The sequence below is a fragment of the Homo sapiens genome, chromosome 7 (assembly GCF_000001405.40).
Source record: "Homo sapiens chromosome 7, GRCh38.p14 Primary Assembly".
Classification (NCBI taxonomy): domain Eukaryota; kingdom Metazoa; phylum Chordata; class Mammalia; order Primates; family Hominidae; genus Homo; species Homo sapiens.
In genome coordinates, this window is record NC_000007.14 from 76,087,548 (window position 1) to 76,110,360 (window position 22,813).

At 44.0% G+C, this 22,813-nt stretch overlaps 1 pseudogene across 1 annotated transcript; it reads right to left on the reverse strand.

Annotated features, from left to right (window-relative positions):
• GTF2IP7 (general transcription factor IIi pseudogene 7) lies at nt 4,516-21,215 on the reverse strand (annotated as a pseudogene). The gene is made up of 6 exons (NR_135079.1): nt 20,888-21,215; nt 20,684-20,762; nt 12,351-12,409; nt 11,893-11,967; nt 5,750-5,854; nt 4,516-4,619 (listed from the first exon to the last, which is right to left on the reverse strand). The product of NR_135079.1 is annotated as a general transcription factor IIi pseudogene 7 (transcript).
• Between the last annotated feature and the right edge of the window lie 1,598 nt (nt 21,216-22,813).

The window sequence follows — 22,813 nt, forward strand, 5'->3', positions numbered from 1 at the left end:
TTTAAAAAGAGAAAAAAATTACATCCGGATTTTCACTGTGTGCATATGACCTTTTGTTTAGGTTGAATTATATCCAAAGATGGTATTTCCAGAAGTGAGATTACTGTGAGTCACAGGGCGTGAGCATTCTTATTACACTTGATGTAAACTGTCGAGCTTTCAGGCATGGTGGCTGTCTGCTTATAATTCCAGCACTTTGGGAGGCTGAGGTGGGAGGATTGCTTGAGCCCAGGAAGTTGTGGCTGCAGTGAGCCATAATTGCACCACTGCACTCCAGTCTGGGCAACAGAGTGAGACAGAAGGTTGACTGTTTAATAGAATTTTTCTGTTGACTTGAAGATATGGCCATGACTGTGCCATATGAAAATTCTTCATAAAATAATTATCTCATCCAATTAAATGTTGGAATTGGGAACAGAAAATGTTTTGGTGACTATTTATTCCTTCACTTGCTATTACAGAAACTACTGCCAGTGGGCACTTAACAACCAAAAGTGTCATCTCTGAGCTACTCACAATGAAAGGTGATGTCTGGGGCCCAGGTGTGTTGAGGTCCCCATGTCTGGGCTATGGGTGCTGAGTGGGACTTACTTGTCCATCCATTTTCTATATTCCAGCACTGGGAAACTTGGGTTTATCCATCTTGATAAGAGGTCATTTAAATTCCACCTGGCAAAAACCACAAATGGAAAAAAGGCAATGAAACTACAGGCTAGCCCTTGTTCTCAAAAGAATATTTAGCTTAGGTGGTTCTGTAAAAGAGGAATCACATTGTTGAAAACTCATCACAGGTCAGGTGAGGTGGCTCACACCTATAATCCCAGCCCATTGGGAGACTAAGGCAGGAGGATATCCCATGAGGCCAAAAGTTCAAGACCAGCCTGGGTAACACAGTGAAACCTCATCTCTACAAAAAATTAGAAAATGAGCTGGGTGCGGGGGCACATTCCTATAGTCCCAGCTACTTTGGAGGCTGAAGTGGGAGGATCAAAGTGGAAGCTGCAGAAGTAGAAGCTGCAGTGAGCTCTGATCCCACTGCACTCCAGCCTGGGTGACAGAGTGAGAAAACATACACACACACACACACACACACACACACCCCTCATCTCAGTCTGCCCAGCCTTCACACACACACACACACTCATCTCAGTCTGCCCAGCCTTCACACACACACACACACACACACACACACACCTCATCTCAGTCTGCCCAGCCTTGACTAGTGAAAAAGGTCTTCTGGTTACAGAAGACGTATGCTCTTTTTTAGGACCGGGATGGACCAGCAAGCTTGTTCACAGCCTTTCCCTCATCCTCTGCTTAGTTTTCCAAGAAACTTCAGGTGGAAAGGGAGTCCCTGGGGAAAAGACCTAACTCATCAGGTTACCAAAGGAGAAATTTGCATCCTTTGTCAATTAATAAATGGAACACCTGCCTTAAAAACCAGGGAGTTCTGCTAGGGTGAATCACTCCCTACAACCCTGACCTATGCAGGGAATGTAAAAACCTGGAGTTTGGGGACCTATAATATTGAAGGCCACATTGCAGATGTGGAGACCTTACCAAAGTACAGCCTTTCCACAAAGCACTACCGAACACCAGCTGGCTGTCTCCATGGGACACCGCTGTATCTCTGGCTCTCGTTTCCCCCAGAGATGCTCTATTCCAGCCTTCTCTTACATTTTGTATCCTGCACAGTTCCTGGCATAAGGACTTACAACATATCAGGCTGCTATGTTAATGGTGATCTACTGCAGATCCAACTTGAGATTCTGGCAGGGCGCTTTGTGTTTGAGAAATTAAAGGGGAGAGAATGGACCCAGCCTGCTGGAATATAAAAAATTTAAAGAAGAAAAAAATATTAAAATAAAAATTTCTCCTAAAGAGCACTCAAAAGCACACTCCCACCAATGCTAGATCTATTTACCTCTCTCTTGCTTTTTTTTTTCTGAGATAGGGTCTCACTCTGTCACTCAGACTGGAGTGCAGTGGCAAGATCACTGCTTACTGCAGCTTTCAACTCCTGGGGTCAAGCTATCCTCCCACTTCAGCCTCCTGAGTAGCTGGGATTACAGGTGAATGCCACCATGCCTGGCTAATTTTTTAATTTTTTGTAGAGACGGGGTCTCACTATGTGGCCCAGACTGGTCTTGAACTCCTGGGTCAAACTAATCCTCCCGCCTTCGCCTCCGAAAGTGCTAGGATTATAGGCTTTAGCCACTGTGCCCAGTCTATTTATCTTTCTATAACTCATATATTAAATCTTCCTCCTTAAATCACCTCCTACCCACCCATCTGCAGGGATAGCAAACACAGGTCTCAGCAGGTCAGGCAACCTACAGGAGGGAATGAGGCCAGAGTAATGTGGGAGACCAGGGGGAACTGTAGCAAACTGCAAGGTATTCACTTCAATAGTTCTTCAACACTGTGATGGTCAAACCAAACACAGAAACAGGAAGCCCAGTTCAGTCGCCAGCAGCCAATGTGGGATATTTGATCTACATGCTACAGGGCAAACTGCTTACGATAAATGACCTGGTCTCCACCAACCTGCTCTTCAAGTCCAGCCGCTCCTGCCCAACTCCCTACACTCTACTGACACGACCCACATTCACAGTACTCTCCTGAAACTTTGCTTGTTCACTCTTTTTTTATTTTCCCAATGAATATTTCTTTTTCTTTTTTTTACTTTTTTTGAGACAGAGTCCCCTTCTGTTACACAGGCTGAAGTACAGGCGGATGATTATGGCTCACTGCAGCTTCGTTATGGCTCACTGCAGCTTCCGTCACCTGGGCTCAAGTGATCCTCCCACCTTAGCCTCCCAAGTAGCGGGGATTACAGTCATGTAACACCACACCCAGCTAAATTTATTATTTTTTCTTGTCTTTTTTTTTTTTTTTTTTTTTTTTCAGACGGAGTCTCGCTCTGTTGCCCAGACTGGAGTGCAGTGGCATGATCTCAGCTCACTGCAACCTCTGCCTCCTGGGTTCAAGCAATTCTCTTTCCTCAGCCTCCCGAGTAGCTGGGATTACAGGTGCATGCCACCATGCCTGACTAATTTTTATATTTTTAGTAGAGATGGGGTTTTACCATGTTCACTAGGCTGGTCTTGAACTCCTGACCTCAGATGATCTGCCCACGTCGGCCTCCCAAAGTGCTGGGATTACAAGTGTGAGCCACCGTGCCTGGCCAGTTTATTATTTTTTCTAGAGACAGGGTCTCACTACGTTGCCCAGGCTGGCCTTGAACTCCTGGGCACAAGCAATCCTCTGGCCCCCACCTTCCAAAAAGCTGGGATTACAGGCTTGCGCCAACACATCAGGCCCTAACAAACACTTCTTGAGCTCCTACTATATACCAGGCACTATAATAGGTGCCCAGGAAACAGCGGTGAACAAGGTATAACAGTTTCTGCCCTTGGCCGGGCGTGGTGGCTCATGCCTGTAATCCCAGCACTTTGGGAAGCCGAGGCCGGTGAATCACCTGAAGTCAGGAGTTCGAGACCAGCCTGACGAACATGGTGAAACCCTGTCTCTATTAAAAGTATAAAAATTAGCGGGGCATGGTTGTGCATGTCTGTAATCCCAGCTACAGCTACTCAGGAGGCTGAGGCAGGACAATCGCTTGAACCCAGGAGGCGGAGGTTGTAATGAGCTGAGGTTGCGGCGCTGCACTCCAGCCTGGGCAATGAGAGCGAAACTCCGTATCAAAAAAAAAAAAAAAGTTTCTGCCCTCGCAGAGCTTATAGGGTAGCAGGAAATTGATACAGTTTGAACGTTTGTCTCCTCCAAATCACATATTGAAATTAAATCCCTAATGTTGGAGGTGGTGCCTGGTGGGAGGTGTGTGAGTCGTGGGGGCAGATCCCTCATGAATGGCTTGGTGCCTTCCCCAAGGTAATGAATGAGTTCTCTCTCTACTAGTTCATGTGAGAGCTGATTGTTTAAAGAGAGTGGCATCTCCTCCCCTCTCCCTTGCTCCCTCTTCTCAACAAGTGACATGACGGCTCCTCCTTCACCTTCCGCCATGAGAGGAAGCCTCCTGAGGTCTTCACCAGCAGATGCTGGTACTACGCTTTTTTTTTTTTCTGAGACAGGGTCTCACTCTGACACTCAGGCTAGAGAGCAGTGGTGTAATTATGGCTCACTGCAACCCTGACATCCTGGGCTAAACAGGTCTTTTTACCTTAGCCTTTCAAGTAGCTGAAACCACAGGAATGCATCAGTGCACCACCATACCTGGCTATTTTTTTTTTATTTTTAGCAGAGACAAGATCTTACCATGTTTCCCAGGCTGGTTTCAAACTTCTGGGCTCAAGCAATCCTCCTGCTTCAGCGTCCCAAAGTGCCGGGATTACAGGTGTGGGCCACTGCTCCCAGCCTGGCACCATGCTACTTGTATAGTCTGCAGAACTGTGAGCCAAATAAACTGTTTTTCTTTATAAACTACCCAGCCTGAGGTGTTTCCTTATAGCAATGCAAAATGGACTAATCTAGGAATCACAGGCCAACACTTACCAGACTGTGATGAGCACATGACAGAAGTACAAAATGGGACTGAAACGTTCTCCAGGGGCTTCTTGTTGCATCAGAGAGAGTGGGGTGAGACATCTTGGCTGAGGCTAAAAATGAGCAAAGATGAGAGTGAAAAAGTGATGATGGAGGTAGGAAGAGGGTTTCCTGAAGGACCAGTAAAGTCCCCCAAGGAAACTAACATTCCTTGTGGCTGGAGGGTAGGGATTTGGGGAGGGTGGTGCAGGATAAAACTGGGAAGGTGAGCGGAGACCAGCTCTTACCAGGCCCTGTGGCCAAATTAGTTTGGACTTCGTCTTAAAGGCAATGGGCAGTCACCAGCAGGTTTTAATCAAGAACTATTTTGACCCAAATTTGCCTTTTAGGAGAATTCCTCTGGCTTCAGTGAACAGGCCGAAGTGAGCAAGCCTAATAGTCAGAAAGACAATTGGAGGCCCTCACAATAAACCAGTGTAAAAGAGAAAAGGGCTGGGCATGGTGGCTCCTGCCTGTAATCTCAAAACTTTAGAAGTCCAAGGTGGGTGGATGGCTTGAGCCCAGGAGTTTGAGACCAGCCAGAACAATGTGATGAAACGATGAAACCACATCTCTACAAAACACAAAAATTAGCTGGGCATGGTGGCTCGTACCTGTGGTCCCAGCTACCCCAGAGGCTGAGGCGGAAGGATAGCTTGAGCCTGAGAGGTTGAGACTGCAGTGAGCCAAGATCAAACCACTGTGCTCCAGCCTGGGCAACACAGGGAGACTGCCTCAAAAAAAAAAAAAAAAAAGAAAGAAAAAAAGAAAAAGAAAAAGATCCCATTCTTCACTTATTAGTGCCCTAACATTCTCATGAGAACCTTGGTGACAGTGAATTCAACTGTCATTGTAATTCAGCAACCAACACATTTAAGTTTGTGTTTGATTTCCAATAATATTAGCCCTGTGGATACAAGAAATAAGGAATTGTGTTTGGGCTATCATGGAAGCTCTCTGGATCTTAGACCATGACTTACGCTGAGAGGTAAAGACTTGAGCTTTTTGTTTTTCTCTCTGTGTTGAGTGCAGCGGTCCCCAATTTTTGGGGGAGCAGGGACCAGTTTTGTGGAAGACAGTTTTTCCATAGACTGGGGGCAGCAAAGGTCAGTTTTGGGATATATCAAGCACATTACGTTTATTGTGCACTTTATTTCTATTATTATTACATTGTAGCATATAACGAAATACTTATATAACTCACCATAATGTAGAATGACTGGGAGTCTTGACCTTCTTTTCCTGCAACTAGATGGTCCCATCTGGGGGTGATGGGAGATAGTGACAGATCATCAGGCATTAGATTCTCCTAAGGACAGAGCAAGATAGATCCCTTGCATGCACAGTTCACAATAGGGTTCGTGCTCACATGAGAATCTAATGCTGCCGCTGATCTGACAGGAGGCAGAGATCAGGTGGTAACGTGGGGAGCAGCTGTAAATACAGATGAAGCTTCGCTCGCCCACCCTCTACTCACCTCCTGCCATGTAGCCCATTATAGTCCTGTGACCCAGGGATTAGGGGCCCCTGCAAGTGCATCCAAAAGGATTCTTCCCACACCAGTCTTCATAGTGGTCAAGTGCAGCAGCCACTTAGCTCCCAAGGCATGTGCCTCAGCTGGCATTTCATCACAATCAACAGAAAGTGGTAGCGTGAGTCATTGTGAGGTCCTCGAAATCAACAGCATCCCATGTCCCATTGGCAAGGAGCTCAGCACTGCCCCTTGGATAACCAAACCTATGCCCAAATCCCAGTTGTCTGGGTCTATCTCCCGGGACCCTTCCTAGCATCAATTCTGTATTTGTCAGAGTCCAAACAGGAGACATAAACCACTCAAAAGTTTAAACTGTTAAATTTAAAATAAAAAATTATTAATTATAACAGGGCAACAGCATAAGGAGAGATGGCTACCAAAAAGTAAAGAGAACGCTAGAGAATATAGGACTAGCAGAGGCCAGGCACGGTGGCACATGTTTATAATTTCAGCAATTTGGGAAGCCAAGACAGGAAGACTCCTTGAGGCCAGGAGTTTGAGACCAGCCTGGGAAACACAGTGAGACCCCGTCTCTACCCAAACAAACAAACTAACAACAACAAAAAAAACCTGGGTGTGGTGGCACACACCTATAGTCCTAGGTACTTAGGAGACTGAGGTGGGAGGATTGCTCGAGCCTGGGCGGTCAAGGCTGCAGTGAACCATGATTTCGCCACTGCACTTTAGCTTGGGCAACAGAGGGAGACCCTGTCTCCAAAAAAAAAGAGTATAGGACCAGCTGATATAACAAGCAGTAACTGTCCCTACTGTCCCAACGCTGAGATACCGTGATCAAGGAAAAGACTCCCCACTAGGGCTGAGATCCAGCCCCCACTTGGAGAGGGCACAGTCATGGGTAATTCAATAGCAGAATTGCTGCATTACCACATGGTTGAACATGCTAGCAATCTGCCCTCTGGAATTTGCTGAAAATTCACCCTCTGGGGTGCTAGATTAAGCTATTAATGAACAGTTGTCTCACTACAAATCCACCCAGGCAGGTGCAGAGAAACTGCTGGTCGCTGGATGCTGCTGAGCACTGTGCAGGGCAGCATCCCGGTGCTGGAGAAGCTCAGTGCCTGTGGAGATTCGCACACAACAACCAGAAAGAAAAGCCTCTTACAAGGTCCCTCTAGTACTATGTACTGACAACATTTAATCATGTACCAGCTGACAGAGGAAGCATTTAAGGAACACACCTCTATGTTTGCAGATCAGGCAGTGAAGGGTGAATTTGGAACTGATGGGCACTCATTGGATGGATAGCTGGTACATGACATATTTCCCTCCACCAAGAAAGAAAGGGAAGAGAGAAAAGAGAGAGAGGACCAGGCATGGTGGTTCCCACCTATAATCCCAGCAGTGTGGGAGGCCAAGGCAGGTGGATCACTTGGGTCCAGGAGTTAGAAACCGGCCTGGGCGACATAGTGAAACCCTGTCTCTACTAAAAATAAATTAGCTGAGTGTGGTGGAGTTTGACTGTAGTCCCAACTTCTCAAGAGGCTGAAATAAAAGGATCACGAGTGTCTGGGGGTTCGAGGCTGCAGTGAGCCATGTTCACACCACTGCACTCCTGCCTAAGTGACACAGAGAGATCATGTCTCAAAAAAAGAAATGTTGGTGAAAATGTGGAGAAATTGGAACCCGCATACATTACTGGTGGGAACACAAAATGGTTTAACTACTTGGGGTGTTTCTTTTCTCGTCATTTTATTTATTTATTTATATTTTTACATTTTTTGTGTGACAGAGTCTCACTCTTTTGCCCTGGCTGGAATGCAGTGGTGTGATCCTGACTCACTGCAACCTCCACCTCCTGGGTTCAAAAAATTCTCCTTGCCTCAACCTCCCGAGTAGCTGGGATTACAGCATCTGCCACCATGGCCAGCCAGGCTGGTTTTGAACTCCTGACCTCAAGTTATCCACCTGCCTCGGCCTTTCGAAGTGCTGGGATTACAGACGTGAGCCACCGCACCTGTCTTCTTGTCATTTTAATTTGATTTTTCAAAAACCGAAACAGGGTCTTGCTATCTTGCCCAAGCTGGTCTCTCTTTACTCGTAGGCTCAAGTGATCCTCCCACCTCAGCCTCTCATGTAGCTGGGATTACAGGTGTAAGTCACTGCACCTGACTGGTGTAACCACTTTGGAAAACAGTTTCTCAAAAGGCTAAATGTACAGTATCATAGAATGCAACAATTTCTCTCCTAGGTATATATGCCAGAGAAATAAAAATATATGTCCACACAAAAACTTGTACATGCATCTTCATAGCAGCATTATTCATAATAGCCAATACATGGAAACAACCCAAATGTTCATCAACTGAAGAATAAACAAAATGTGGTGTGTCTCTACCATGGAATATTACTAAGCCATAGAAGGAACGAAATACTGACACATGCTATGACAGGAAGAAACTCTGAAAACACTGTGCTAAGAGGGAAAAAAAAGCCAGCCACAAACAATCACATATTGCACAATCCTATTTATATAGAAGGTCCAGATTAGGCAAATCTAAATCTATAGTGACAGAAAATAGATCAGTGGTTGCCTATTGGCAACACAGAAGCATGGCGGGGAGTAACCTAGTGGCTTACTCCCCGCCATGTTCTTAGCTAGTGGCTAAGAACAGTGGATTTCTCTATAGGGTAATGAAAGCTTCTAAAATGGATTGTGGTGATAGATCACAGCTCCATGAATATTCTAAAAACCACTGAATTGCATACTTTGACAAATAAATTGCATGGTATGTGAACTACATTTCAATAAAGTTGTTATTTAAAAAAAGAAAATAGCGGGCTGGACACAGGTGGCCCATGGCTGCCTATAATTCCAGCACTTTGGGAGGCTGAGACAGGAGGATCACTTGAGGACAGGAGTTTGAGATCATCCTGGGCAGCATAGCACAATCCCATCTCTACAACAAAAAAATAAAAAATTTAGCTTTGCATGGTGGTGTATGTCTGTAGTCCAAGCTACTTGGGAGGCTGAGGCGGGAGTATTGCTTGAGCCCAGGAGTTTGAAGCCACAGCGAGCCATGATCACACCACTGCATTGCAGCCTAAGTGACAGAGTAAGATCCTGTCTCTAAAAAGGAAAGAAAAGAAATGCAAGTTTTTATCACTTTGTGAGAGTAACCAAGTTTGTAGAGAAACAGATAAGAACAAGAGCAATGAATGGTGAGAGTGAGAGGCTGGTTAGGCTCATTGCTAGCTAAGGGACTTCTGAAAAATTCATTAGTAAAATCACAGCTCTGGGGGTCAGTCAGGCAGTCAAACGATGAATGTTAAATCCATTACAAATGCCCATCGTCTTTCTTTACATCCCTTCTAATGAAAAATTCCTAAGTGCCTAAATAGCAAGTGTTCTCAAATGATAGCAGCTGTTTATTAAAGAAATAACATCTCAAATTTTAAAAACCATGAGTCAAATATTATTTTCTTCCTCCCATTTTACAGGTGTGCAACCTAAACAACAGAGAATTTAATTTTTCTAAGTGGCAGAGCACTGATTTAAATCCTATCACTTTGGCCTCAGAGTTTGTGCTTTATTTTACTTTATTATTTTAAAAGCCATCGTTTTTAAAACCAAGAGACTTATGCAAAATTCTGCGAGGATTCAAAACAAGCCTCTTGCTTTTCCTGACTGTGGGTGCAGGCAGGGCTCATGCTGCATTTTCTTTACTTATAATTGGATGGAGACATGATGGATGGAGACACGATCACAGGAGTTCTCTTGGTCATTGTGCACCAGAAAGGAGAGTGAAGAGAGGCACAGGGAAGCCAGTCTTACCATGTTTGAGCAACTGAACCAATATCAGCCTTAGCCTACCTGCACAATTACATTTTTGTGAGAAAAACAGGCATCTCCCTATTTTGATAATCACAGCTAGCTACAGTAACAAACAATCCTAAAGTTATTCTTGGTAACATTATTCCTACAGCCTCAATCCTTTTAACTCATTATATTAGCTGTTCATTTCTCCGTTTTTCCTGACATCTAATTGATAACCAAAACCTTATGTTATTAAATAAGCTTTGGGTTAACAGGATCAATGAATGAAGAGTTTAAAGATACCAAAAAAAAGTTCACAGAAGTACCTGCCAAATGTGCCAACTGACTACTATGAACTAATTTACTTTTGAGAAACATGCTATTTCTTATATGCTACTGACAGTGCCTGTAAAAATGGTGCACATTAACTGGCTGTTTTATTTTCTCCCCAATCTTAATATCTAATATCCACAGACTGAGATTAGGGCACCAACATATACAATGTAACTTCATACTAGAGTTAGAAGGTGACACGAAGTGTAGAAATCATAATCTTATCCATAAAGTTCCTGTCACCTTGGAATTAACCTCCCCTTTACATAGTCTCATTGTTCACCTTGTTCAGATCTTTATAGGTTCAGGCTCAGGTCTCTGCGGTCGCGCAGTGTGTCTTTTTACCAAAAGGAACACCTCATGCACTTTACAAGGAGCTCCTTCAGGAAAGGATGGCACCTCGTGTTGAGGAGAGATCTCTGATCCTCTGATCTTTTCCAAAAGGAGAAAAGTAAAGGTTTGAATGGATTTTTAGTTCTCGGCATTTTTGAACAGAAATAGTCAGGTATTAAGTTGCTCAAAGATGCCCACAAGCTTTCATAGGAGAAACATCTAATTCATAACCAAGAGTTTATGTTATTAAGTAAGCTTTCCTTTAACAGGATGAATGAATGAAGAGTTTAAATACTCTAATCCCCATTTAGTCATCTGGTATACTCTCTGTATACTCTCAGTCATCTGGTATACTCTGTCATCTGGTATACTCTCTGTGAGGTATACTCTTAAGTCATCTGGTATCCTCTCTTTGAGTATGCCAGATTATTAAATGGAAATTACTGCACCACTAAACACCAGTACTGCAAACCCTTATTTAAAAAATCGACACCTAGGACATAAAAAAAAATGATCCTAGGCTGGGCGTGGCGGCTCACGCCTGTAATCCTAGCACTTTGGGAGGCCAAGGTAGGCAGACTGCCTAAGCTCAGGAGTTTGAGACCAGCTTGGGCAACATGGTGAAACCCCATCTCTACTAAAATACAAAAAATTAGCCAGATGTGGTGGTGTGCACCTGGAGTCCCAGCTACTCGGAAGGCTGAGGCAGGAGAACTGCTTGAACCTGGGATGCTGAGGCTGCAGTGAGCAGAGATCATGCCACTGCACTCCAGCCTGGGTGCCAGAGCGAGACTTTCATCTCCAAATAAAAAAGAATGATCCTAATGCGGTTATTTCCTTTTGCATTTATGAGGAGATGGAAGAAATACCCATATTTGATGGTTGTTTGGGAACTGTCTTTGGTATTGTAGGAAGTATTTTAATACTGTGAACATGAAAAGATGAGAACCCTGCAGACCCCGTGGGCATGGAGAGAAGGAAGTACATTAGAGGATGTTGTAGGAAATACTTTCATTCCAGGCACTGCTTTTTAAACCACCCCTCAACTTTCTTTCCTTAAAAGAACAGAAAAAACAAGACAAAAGATGAAACATTCCATGTGACCCTCTGCACCCTTATTTGTTGTAATAAAGGAAAAGCATTTTAGGGATTTTCTTGAGTGCAGTTTATGATGTGATCCATGTTATTTATTTCCTGTTAATAATTTTCAAAATTTCAATTAAAGACATTCAGAAATTTAGCTTTATCACAGGCAGCTGTTCACAGGTAAAACTAGTTTGGTTACCTTCATCTGTATAAACATGTAGCTAGTGAATTGACATAACTATTAAACTGGAGAATCAACAGAAACATGCCAAGGACTGGCCCTTACCTTCCACAGTGACCTCAATTTCAGGAACCTTTTCATTACTCTCAGGGCTTCATGGTCTTTTTAGAAACTGCGAAGCTATAAAATAAAGCACAGAATTACTTTAGTATATTGTAGAAAAAAATACAGAAGGAAATGCTTTATAAGAGCGGAGTATTAAAATTCATTCAGTTTGGCTCTTTTCAAAGAAACCTGCAGAATTAAACTTGTAGTGTAATCCTCCACAGGGGACTCAACAAAGCCATGGAAACATGAATGAAGTGGGATTGCAAATGTGACACTTCCAACAAAATTTTTTTTAAAGAAAAAGAGGTCCATTAAATAAAATACCTTAAAAAGCCAAGAAATTAACTGCAAGTCCCACAAAGAGAATGGCCAATGATTCTGTGTGATTTAAGGAATGCTGATAAAGAATGTCTTAATGTAGTGAAATATAATACAAAACACAGGTAATCTCTTACCTTTAGTGTTTATTTTATTAGCAACTCCAGGAGGCAAGTAGGAAATAACCAGTTCAGGTCTAGAAAGAAAACCAAGAAATGTTACAGCAGCCAGTACAATGGTGGCCTCACAGCTAGTAAAACGGTTGTGATATGACCAGGGTTTTTTCCTAAAGGTGTTCACAGAGTCATCCTGTAATGTCACAATAATTCCTATCATTGTAGATGAAAACCCTGACTTTTCCTTCCCATGACTGGCAAGTAATTGTATGAAAAGTAAATTACTTCTTTCATGAAAAAGAAAATTAACACTAGTGTACTTTCTTCAGCCACCAAAATTCTGCAGAAACGCAGATATAATTAAAAAAAAACCTCCATCATCAGGCCGGGCACGGTGGCTCATACCTGCAGTCCCCATACTTTGGGAGGCTGAGGTGGGTGGGTCACCTGAGGTCAGGAGTTTGAGACCAGCCTGACCAACTTGGTGAAACACCGTCTCTACGAAAAATACAAAAATTAGCCGGGCATGGTGGTGCATGCCTGTAATCCCAGCTACTTGGGAGGCTGAGGCAGGAGAATCACTTGAACCTGGGAGGTGGAGGTTGCAGTGAGTCGAGATCGTGCCATTGCACTGCAGCCTGGGTAACAAGAGTGAAACTCTGTCTCAGAAAAAGGAAAAGAAACTCAATCATCAATATTTACTTGCTAATAAGATTGACCCAGGAATAACAGAGCAGATAAAACCCAGCAGATTAAACTTCATTCAAGTACTTAGGCATACTGCAAGCCACCACAGTGTGTCTGAACATCGGGGAGGCAGTGGTCACTATTCTTGCACTGATGAAGATGACTGAGTATGGGATGGGGAATGGCAGGGGCAATGGAGAGTGCCAGGACTGCAGCTCAGAGCCAGGCTTTTCCATCAAGGACTTACAGACACACCTGTCACTTCTAGCTAGAAAAACATTTTAGTAGAAATGTCATTTTATTGTTTTAATTCCAGAAATGACTACAGTGGCAAATATAACTTACTTTTTTATTGTTGTTGTTGTTGTTGTTGTTGAGGCAGAGTCTCACTCTGTCACCCAGGCTGGAGTGCAGTGTTGTGATCTCGGCTCACTGCAGCCTCTGCCTCCCAGGTTCAAGTGATTCTCCTGCTTCAGCCTCCCAAGTAGCTGGGATCACAGGTGCCCGCCACCATGCCCGGCTAATTTTTTGTATTTTTAGTGGATACGGGGTTTTGCCATGTTTGCCAGGCTGGTCTCGAACGCCGGACCTCAGGTGATCTGCCCACCTCAGCCTCATAAAGTGCTGAGATTACAGACGTGAGCCACTACGCCTGGCCTAAAACTTACTTTTTACCAACAAATTTGATTTTATTACTCCCATGGACGATCCTTTCAAGTCATGGAATTCCAAACCAGGAGGGCTTCGAAAGGGAATCCTGTCTGGCAAACCTTCTACGTACAGGAACTTGGGATTTGATTCAAACACAGGATATGGTTCTTTTACTGCCTCAGTGAGTCCAAGAACTTAAGCTGAAAGTGCAAGAGAACATAATTTGTGGAAAATAAAATCTGACACGGACATTCTTTTATTTGTATCTGCATTCTCAAGTACATTATGGACAAGTTCCCTACAATCAAGCAATATTTACTTCATATTGAAGGCATTTTGCTTAGGATATTGGCCAAATCTGAAGAACAAGCTTAAAAAATAAGTACTTTTGAGAGGAACACTTTAACCCTTTCACTCAAAAGGAGAGTTATGTTATTAGCCAAAATGACCTCCAGAGTATAGCTGGGACTACAGGCACCCGCCACCATGCCTGGCTAATTTTTTGTATTTTTAGTATACTAGAGACGGGGCTTCACCGTGTTAGCCAGGATGGTCTCGACCTCCTGACCTCGTGATCCGCCCGCCTCAGCCTCCCAAAGTGCTGGGATTACAAGAATGAGCCACCGCGCCCCGCCCACATTTTAGAAAATGAATTCTAAGACACAGAGAGTTCAACTACCTTTCCAAAGATGACACAGCTAATTACACAGCAGACCAGGTGGCCTGACCCCAGGACTTTTGCCCTTGATCTCTACACTACCATGTTGAGCACAGCAGTAAATATTTCATACAGTTTTATCCAGATTTTTCCTGTTGGTTGTGGTAAACCACGTTTTGTTGTTTGGAGACAAAGTGTTGCTCTGTTGCCCAGGTTGCTGGTGTGCAGCGACACAAACATGGCTCACTGCAGCCTCAACCTCCTGGGCTCAGGCAATCCATTTCAGCTTCCCAAAGTGCTGGGATTACAGGAATGAGCCATCATGCCTGGCCTCACACTATATTTTAATGCCTTTTTTGAAAATGGAAACTTTTACCAATGACTCACTTCATTCAAACTAATGATAAGGAAATGATGCTATTCTCTTTTGTTTTGTTTTTGCATTTTTTTTTCTTTTTTGAGACAAGGTCTTGCTCTGTTGCCCAGGCTGGAGTAGGTAGTGCAATCATGGCAGCCTCAACCTCCCAGACTCAAGCAATCCTGCCCCCAGGATTCCCAAGTAGCTGAGACTACACGTGCATGCTACCACGTTTGGCCAATTTTTGTTGTAGACACAGAGTTTCACCATGTTGCCCAGGCTGGTCTCAAACTCCTGGGCTCAGCTATCCTCTCCCCGCAGCCTCCCAAAGTGTTGGGATTACAGGCATAAGCCACTGTACCTGGTTGATGCTGTCCTTTTTAAATGCATTTTTCCTTTTTTTTTTTTTTTTTTGAGACGGAGTCTTACTCTTTCTCCCAGGCTGGAGAGCACTGGTGCAATCTCGGCTCACTGCAGCCTGGTCTTGAACTCCTGACCTCAGATGATCCACCCGCCTCGGCGGCACACAGTGATTTTGCTCATTTTAGATATTACAACTTTTTAATTAAAAAAAATTTTTTTTCTTTTTTTTGAGCTGCAGTGCAGTGGCATTATCTCGGCTCACTGCAACCTCTGCCTCCCGGGTTCAAGCGATTCTCCTGCCTCAGCCTCTTGAGTAGCTGGGACTACAGGCGCATGCCACCATGCCCAGCTAATTTTTGTTATTTTTAGTAGAGACAGAGTTTCACCATGTTGGCCAGGATGGTCTCAATTTCTTGACCTCGTGATCCACCTGCCTCAGCCTCCCAAAGTGCTAGATTACAAGCATGAGCCACTGCGCCTAGCCAAAAAAAAAATTTTTTTTGAGACAAAGTCTAACTCTGTCATGCAGGCTGGAGTACAGTGGCAGAGTCACAGCTCACCGCAGCCTCGACTTCCTGGACTCAGGTGATTCTCCCACCACAGTCTCCCAAGTATCTGGGACTACAGGTGCACGCCACCACACCTGGCTAATTTTTTTGTATTTTGTAGAGAAGGAGTTTTGCCACATTGCCCAGGCTGGTCTTGAACTCCTGGGCTCAAGCGATCTTTCAGCCTCACCCTTCCCAAAGTGCTGGAATTGCAGGCATGAGCCACTGCTCCCGACCTTTTTAATGCAATTTAAATTATAAATGTGATCACCACAGAAAATATGTGTATTATTTATCTGCTGCTATATAACAAATTACTCGAAACCTAGTGGCTTAAAATAAATTCTTAGGGCCAGGCACAGTGGCTCATGCCTGCAGTCCCACCACTTTGGGAGGCCGAGGTGGGAGATCGCTTGAGTCCAGCAGTTTAAGACCAGCCTGGGCAGCACAGTGAGACTCCATCTCTACAGAAAATGCAAACATTAGCCAGGCATGATGGTGCAAACCTGTGGTCCCAGCTACTCAGGAGGCTGATGCAGGAGAATCGCTTGAGCCCAGGAGGGAGAGGTTACAGTGAGCCAAGATCACCCACTGCACTCCAGCCTGGGTGACAGAGTGAGACTCTGTCTCAAAAATAAATAAATAAATAAATAAATAAATAAAATACTTACTTAGGATCTCCATTTCTGTGGGTCAGGAATTCAGGAGTGGCATAGCTGGGTCATTTGGGCTCAGGGTGTCTCATGACATTGCACTCAAGCTGTCCACTGAGACTGCAGTCACCTAAAGCCTGTTTCCAAGATGGCTCCCTCATGTGACTGCTGACAGGAGGCCTCAGTTCCTGTTACATGAGCCTCTCTACAGGCTGCTTAGGTGTCATGGTGTGACAGCTGGCTTTCCCAAGTGAGTAATCAAAGAGTGAGCAAGGAGGAAGCCACAGTACCTTTTATGATGTAGTTTGCAAAGTTGCAAGCCATCACTTTTGCTTTTTCCTATCTGTCAGAAGGGAATCACGTAACCCAGCCCTCACTCAAGGCGATAGGGACTGGGCTCCACCTTTGACGAGAGTATCAGAGATGTATTTTAAATGACCAACTATGTTTAATTATTGCAAGTACGGTCACTGCAGAAAAACTGGAAAATAGGGACAAGCAAAAAAAAAAAAGTCACTTGTAATTCCATGACTCAATGGATAACATTAGTAGTTGGGTATATATAATTCCAATATTCAAAATATATATTTACTTTCTTAAAATATAAACACACTATATGTACTGTGGTGTAATCTGCTCTTTCACTTAATGTATTGTAAAAATACCTTTCATGTCAAATATTCTTAATTTTTTTTTTTAATTGAGACAGCGTTTTGTTTTTGTCACCCAGGCTGGAGTGCAATGGTGCAATCTCCACGCACTGCAACCTCTGCTTCGTGGGTTCATGCGATTCTCCTGCCTCAGCCTCCGAAGTAGCTGGGATTACAAGCATGGGCCACCACGTCAAGCTAATTTTTTGTATTTTTAGTAGACACAGGGTTTCACCATGTTGGCTAGGCTAGTCTAAAACTCCTGACCTCAAGTGATTACCCGCCTCGGCCTCCCAAAGTGCTGGGATTACAGGCATGAGCCACTGCACCAGATTTTTTAATGGCTGCATACATTTCATCATATGTATGTATCATAACATTTAATGAATTCTATTATGGGATACTTAGGCTGTTACAGGATTTCCCTGTATACATTTTGTTAAATGAACATCCCTACAGCACATTTATTTGTAGAATCATGACTGTTTCTTAAATCCCTAGAAGTGAAATTTCTGGAACACAGTTTGCATAACTTTAAAACTTCAAATGCCTGTTACCTAATTTGAGCAGAATTTTTACTGCAATAATCAAGAGTCCATTTGGCCAAATGTCTTATCTATGACAACACCTGCAAAAGTTCAAATATTGATAACTATAAGTGAATTTGTTGAGAGTGACTGAAATCACTACAGAATGCAAAGTTGCTGTAAAAACTTTACTAAAGAGTGAACTGGCCGGGCATGGTAGCTAATGCCTGTAATCCGAGCACTTTGGGACGCTGAGGTGAGCAGATTGCCTGAGCTCAGGAGTTTGAGACTGGCGTGGACAACACGGTGAAATCCCATCTGTACTAAAATACAGAATTATCTGGGCATGGTTGTGGGCCCATCACCATGACACCCGGCTAACTTTTTTGTATTTTTAGTAGAGACAGGGTTTCACCATGTTACCTAGGCTGGTCTGGAACTCCTGACCTCAAGTGATCCACCCGCCTTGGCCTCCTAAAGTGCTGGGACTACAGCTGTGAACCACCGTGCCTGGCCTGGTTTTTGTTTTTTTTAATATATATATTTATATATACAGGGTCTTACTCTCTCACCCAGGCTGAAGTACAGTGGTACAATCATAGCTCACTGCAGCCTCAAACTCCTGGGCTCAAGTGATCCTCCTGCCTTACCCTCCTAAGTAGCTCCTGGGACTACAGGCATGCAACCTCATCTCTACTAACAATAAAAATTAGCCAGGCGTGGTGATGCACGGGAGTCACCCCTGCTTGGGAGGCTAAGGCAAGAGGATCGCTTAGGCCTAGGAGTTAGAGGCTGCAGTAAGCTATTATCACGCCACTGCACTCCAGCCTAGGTGACAAGAGTGAGACCCTGTCTCAAAATAAAAAATAAAAAAAGAAGTTTGAATATAATTATCTTTTTTAAAAAAAGACAATGGATTCTGTTACTATTTCATTATTGTCAGTACAGAGAAAATGCTCATTTTTAAAAACCTAGATGAGGGGTAGACCAGTAAACATCATTTGTACACACAGGACCTGCCAACCCACCAGGCAAAAAAGAGGCCTCCACTGAGCAAGTCTAACTGCTAGATGCTATGTCATATTTAAACTTCATGAGATCTGGCCAGGCATAGTAACTGATGCCTGAAAATCCCTGCAGGCCAAGGCGAAAGGGTTGCTTGAGGCCAGGAGTTTGAGACCAGCCTGGGAAACAGCGAGACTCAGTTTCCACAAAAACTTTTTTAAAAATTAGCTGGGTGTGGTGGTGTGTGCCTCTGGTCCCAGCTGCTTGGGAGGCTGAGGCAGGAGGATCGCTTGAGCCCAGGAGTTCAAGGCTGCAGTGAGTCATGATCGTGCCACTGCACGCAGGCCTGGGTGGCAGAGTGAGACTCTGTCTCCACAATAAATAAGTAAACATCGTATGATCCGTACCAGGGTACAGGCAGGTGTTATCCCCACTTTTCATCCTCAACTCTGAGTTGAGTCATACATCAACTCTGATGACTTTTGTTTGCACTCCCCTTAAGTCATCCACAGGAACAGCTACTTTACATAGAAAAGTCAATCTCAGAGGGTTGACTAACTTGCCCAATTACTGAAAAAGGTAAAGCTTCAATTAGCACCCAGGCTCATCTGATGCTAGTATTCCCTCTCCACCCCTCCATGTGGCTTCTCTTTATTTATTTTAATTTTCTTTGAGACAGAGTTTCACTCGTTGCCCAGGCTGGAGTGCAATGGCGCTATCTTGGCTCACTGCAACCTCTACCTCCTGGGTTCAAGCGATTCTCCTGCCTCAGGCTCCCAAGTAGCTGGGATTACAGGTGCCTGCCACAATACCCATTTAATTTTTTGTACTTTTAGTAGATAGGGGGTTTCACCATATTGACCAGGCTGGTCTTGAACTCCTGACCTCAAGTGATCCACCCGCCTAATCCTCCCAAAGTGCTGGGATTACAGGCATGAGCCACCGTGCCTGGCCTTGGCTTCCCTTTAATAAATCACCACTCAATTTGATGTGGAGGCTCTGTTAGTTCGCAAAATATAATGAGTGGATTATTTCCAAATCCACTTCCTCTGTTTTATCTATCAGTGTAATCAAGGGCCAGGGTCTTCCCTTGTTCTTGCCTCAAGGTGAAACAGAAGTGGCTTCCCTGTGCTCCGCAGCAGGTTAGACCTAGGCTTAAATCCTGAAGAGTGCTGAGACTCCACTGCACACTGCCATGCCGAGGCCCCTGTGATGTGTCTCGACAGGGGTCCTCTCCCTCCAAGCTCCATGAACCCCAGTGCTGGGACCCTGGTCACCAGCCTAAACTTAGTCTCAGAGTTCAGTAACCTTTAGGAACCCTGAAGCCCGTGACTTCTCACACCCCTGCCATCCTATTCTTAGTTCTCTGTCTGTATTAACTCAATTAATCCTGACAACTTTTGATGCAGAAACTATTGTTTTTTATGTTTTACAGGTGAAGAAACTGAGGCTTGGAGACGCAATGCAGCCTGCCCAAAATCACATGGTTAATAAGTTGCAGAACTAGAATTCAAACTCCAAGTCTACCTCCTGGACCCAAGCTCTTAACCCCTGTGCTATGAGCTAATAACATATGGAGAATTTTGATTATTTTCCTTAGCATTTACCACCATATAACATAATATGCATTATACTTATTTATCTTGTTTATGCCTGTCTCTCCCACTAGACTATAAGCCCCACGAGGGCAAAGATCTTTATTAACTGTATCAGCATCTAGAATAGGCCCCAACCATAGAGTAGGCACCCAGTACATATATATATATATATATACACACACACACACACGTTTATACACACACATATACATACACATAGATATATAATTTTGTATTTATATTTTTGAGACAGAGTCTCTGTCGCCAGGCTGGAGTGCAGTGGCGCAATCTCGGCTCACTGCAACCTCCGCCTCCTGGATTCAAGCCATTCTCGTGCCTTAGCCTCCCAAACAGCTGGGATCACAGGCCTGCGCCACCATGCCTGGCTAATTTTTGTATTTTTAGTAGAGACGGGGTTTTACCATGTTGTCCAGGCTACTCTTGAACTCCCAGCCTCAAGTGATCCACCCACCTCAGCCTCCCATAGTGCTGGGATTACAGGTATGAGCCACCAGGCCCAGCCGACATCCCCTGCCTTGATACAGATATTCACAGCTTCCTGCTTGAGGAAATGTTAATGGACCAAGAACACAGTCCCCCTATTCCTTGGAGATTTCAGAGATTGAAAACAATCTCAAACACCAAACACAACTTACCAAAAGCTGCCTTGAGGGAGATGGATAGGTGAGGTCACCACATTCCTCGTCTTTCTGACACCACAGAGAAGCTTCCACTCTAAGGAAGCAGAAACATGAGCTGTTGCTTTCTCTTAAGGTTTGAAACTCAGGTGCCTTATTTCCCCCAATGTATTCTTCCATTAGTAGGTAGTAAGTATAAAGCAAAACAAAATAAGCAACTACCTGATCCTCTTTTGAATGGCAAGATCTTTCTTCTCATCATCAGTGAGCCGAGATCGTGCCACCACACTCCAGCCTGGGCAACAGAGCAAGACTCCTTCTCAAAAAAATAACAAGTCAGTGGATGTCATCTTTCCTCATTCCTCCCAGGGGTGCGCATTTTTCAGCATTCCCCAGTCACATCTTTCACTAGCATTGGATTGATGACATTTCCCATAGCACCCAGTCTTCCAGGCTCACTGGGGTTCTGGACAGAACGCATATTTACAGAGATGAGTCATGATGTACTTTTCAATCTGATCCATTATCTTCTCAACCCTTTCTGGAGGCACTGAAATAGCCAAACAGACAGAAAAGCTCAAGAGAGTATATATACTCCTTGTACCGGTAGTAAGTAAGCCACTCCTTGTACTGGCAGTAAGCCTAAAAGTACTCACAGATTATATTAATCCTTCAGGAGAGTAAAATCTATCCATTAATATTATTTCCAATATCCACTGTTGCAGGATTTTTCCTTAGTTCAGCTAAAGATGGGGTCCTTGTCCGTCTCAAGGCCACAAAAATTTAGGCTCGCAGACGGTTTGAATAGTGAGTAAGACAGGGTTTTATTGGGACTCTCACAAGGCCAGAGTCCCTGCTAGAGTGCTTTCCGCCAGCAGCTAGAATACTGGGTTTTACACAGTAAGAAGACGTGCCAGGCTCCTCCCCACTATCAACAGTGCAAACATCCTGAAGTTCCACCCCAGTGCACAGGCCGGTTGGAGTTTTTCCGGGGAGCTCCACCCCACTGCACAGGCCGGTTGGAGTTTTTCCGGGGACCCCTTCCTACCTAGCAGTCTCACCATGACCATCTCATTCTTTTTGCTACATCTACATATTATTAAATAGATTTAATGCATGTTTTGATAATTTACGTATTTTATGGACACTTCTATTTATCTAACCCACTGAACATTTTTGGTGGCTTTATAACATTCCATTATATTAACTGACTTATTCGACTCTCCTCTACCACTGTGCATTTAGGTTGATTCCCCTCTTTCACTGTTGTGCATCATAGCTATAAATAATTTTGTAAGGACTATCTTCTTTTGGGTTACTTCTCTGTGATACATCTCCAAAAGTGGCATTAACCTCTTAATAAGAATAAACAACTTTATAGTGCTAAGTATCTATTGCTAGCCACACTCCTCAGAAACTCAGTGCACACTGTCATTAACCACGTGTATGCGCTTATTTCCCTATGGCCCTTACAACATTGGGCTTGATAATTTGTATTTGATTTTACTGATTTTATATGTAGAACATACGTATGTATTCCTCACTTTCTGCCAAAGAATATTTAAAGTCTATTTAAAAGATAAATGCAGTTCAGCACAACAGACTAGAAAATAAAAAGAATAACAAATAACTGTAATCCCAGTGCTCTGGAAGGCTGCAGCTAGAGGATCGATTGAGCCTAGGAGTTCAAGACCAGCCTGGGCAACATAGTGAGACCCCACCTCCAGTAAAGACAGATAGATAGATAGATAGAGAGAGAGAGAGAGATACATAGATAGACAGACAGATTATGATAGATATTTTAAAAATTCTTTAAAAACTTTAGGCTGGGTGTGGTGGCTCACGCCTGTAATCCCAACACTTTGGGAGGCCAAGGCGGGCAGATCACAAGGTCAGGAGATCGAGACCATCCTGGCTAACATGGTGAAACTCCGTCTATATTAAAAATACAAAAACAAAATTATCTGGGCGTGGTGGCTGGCGCCTGTAGTCCCAGCTACTCAGGAGGCTGAGGCAGGAGAATGGTGTGAACCTGGGAGGCGGAGCTTGCAGTGAGCCGAGACTGCACCACTGCACTCCAGCCTGGGCAACAGAGTGAGACTCCACATCAAAAAAAAAAAAAAAAAAAAATCACACATGGAGAGAGAC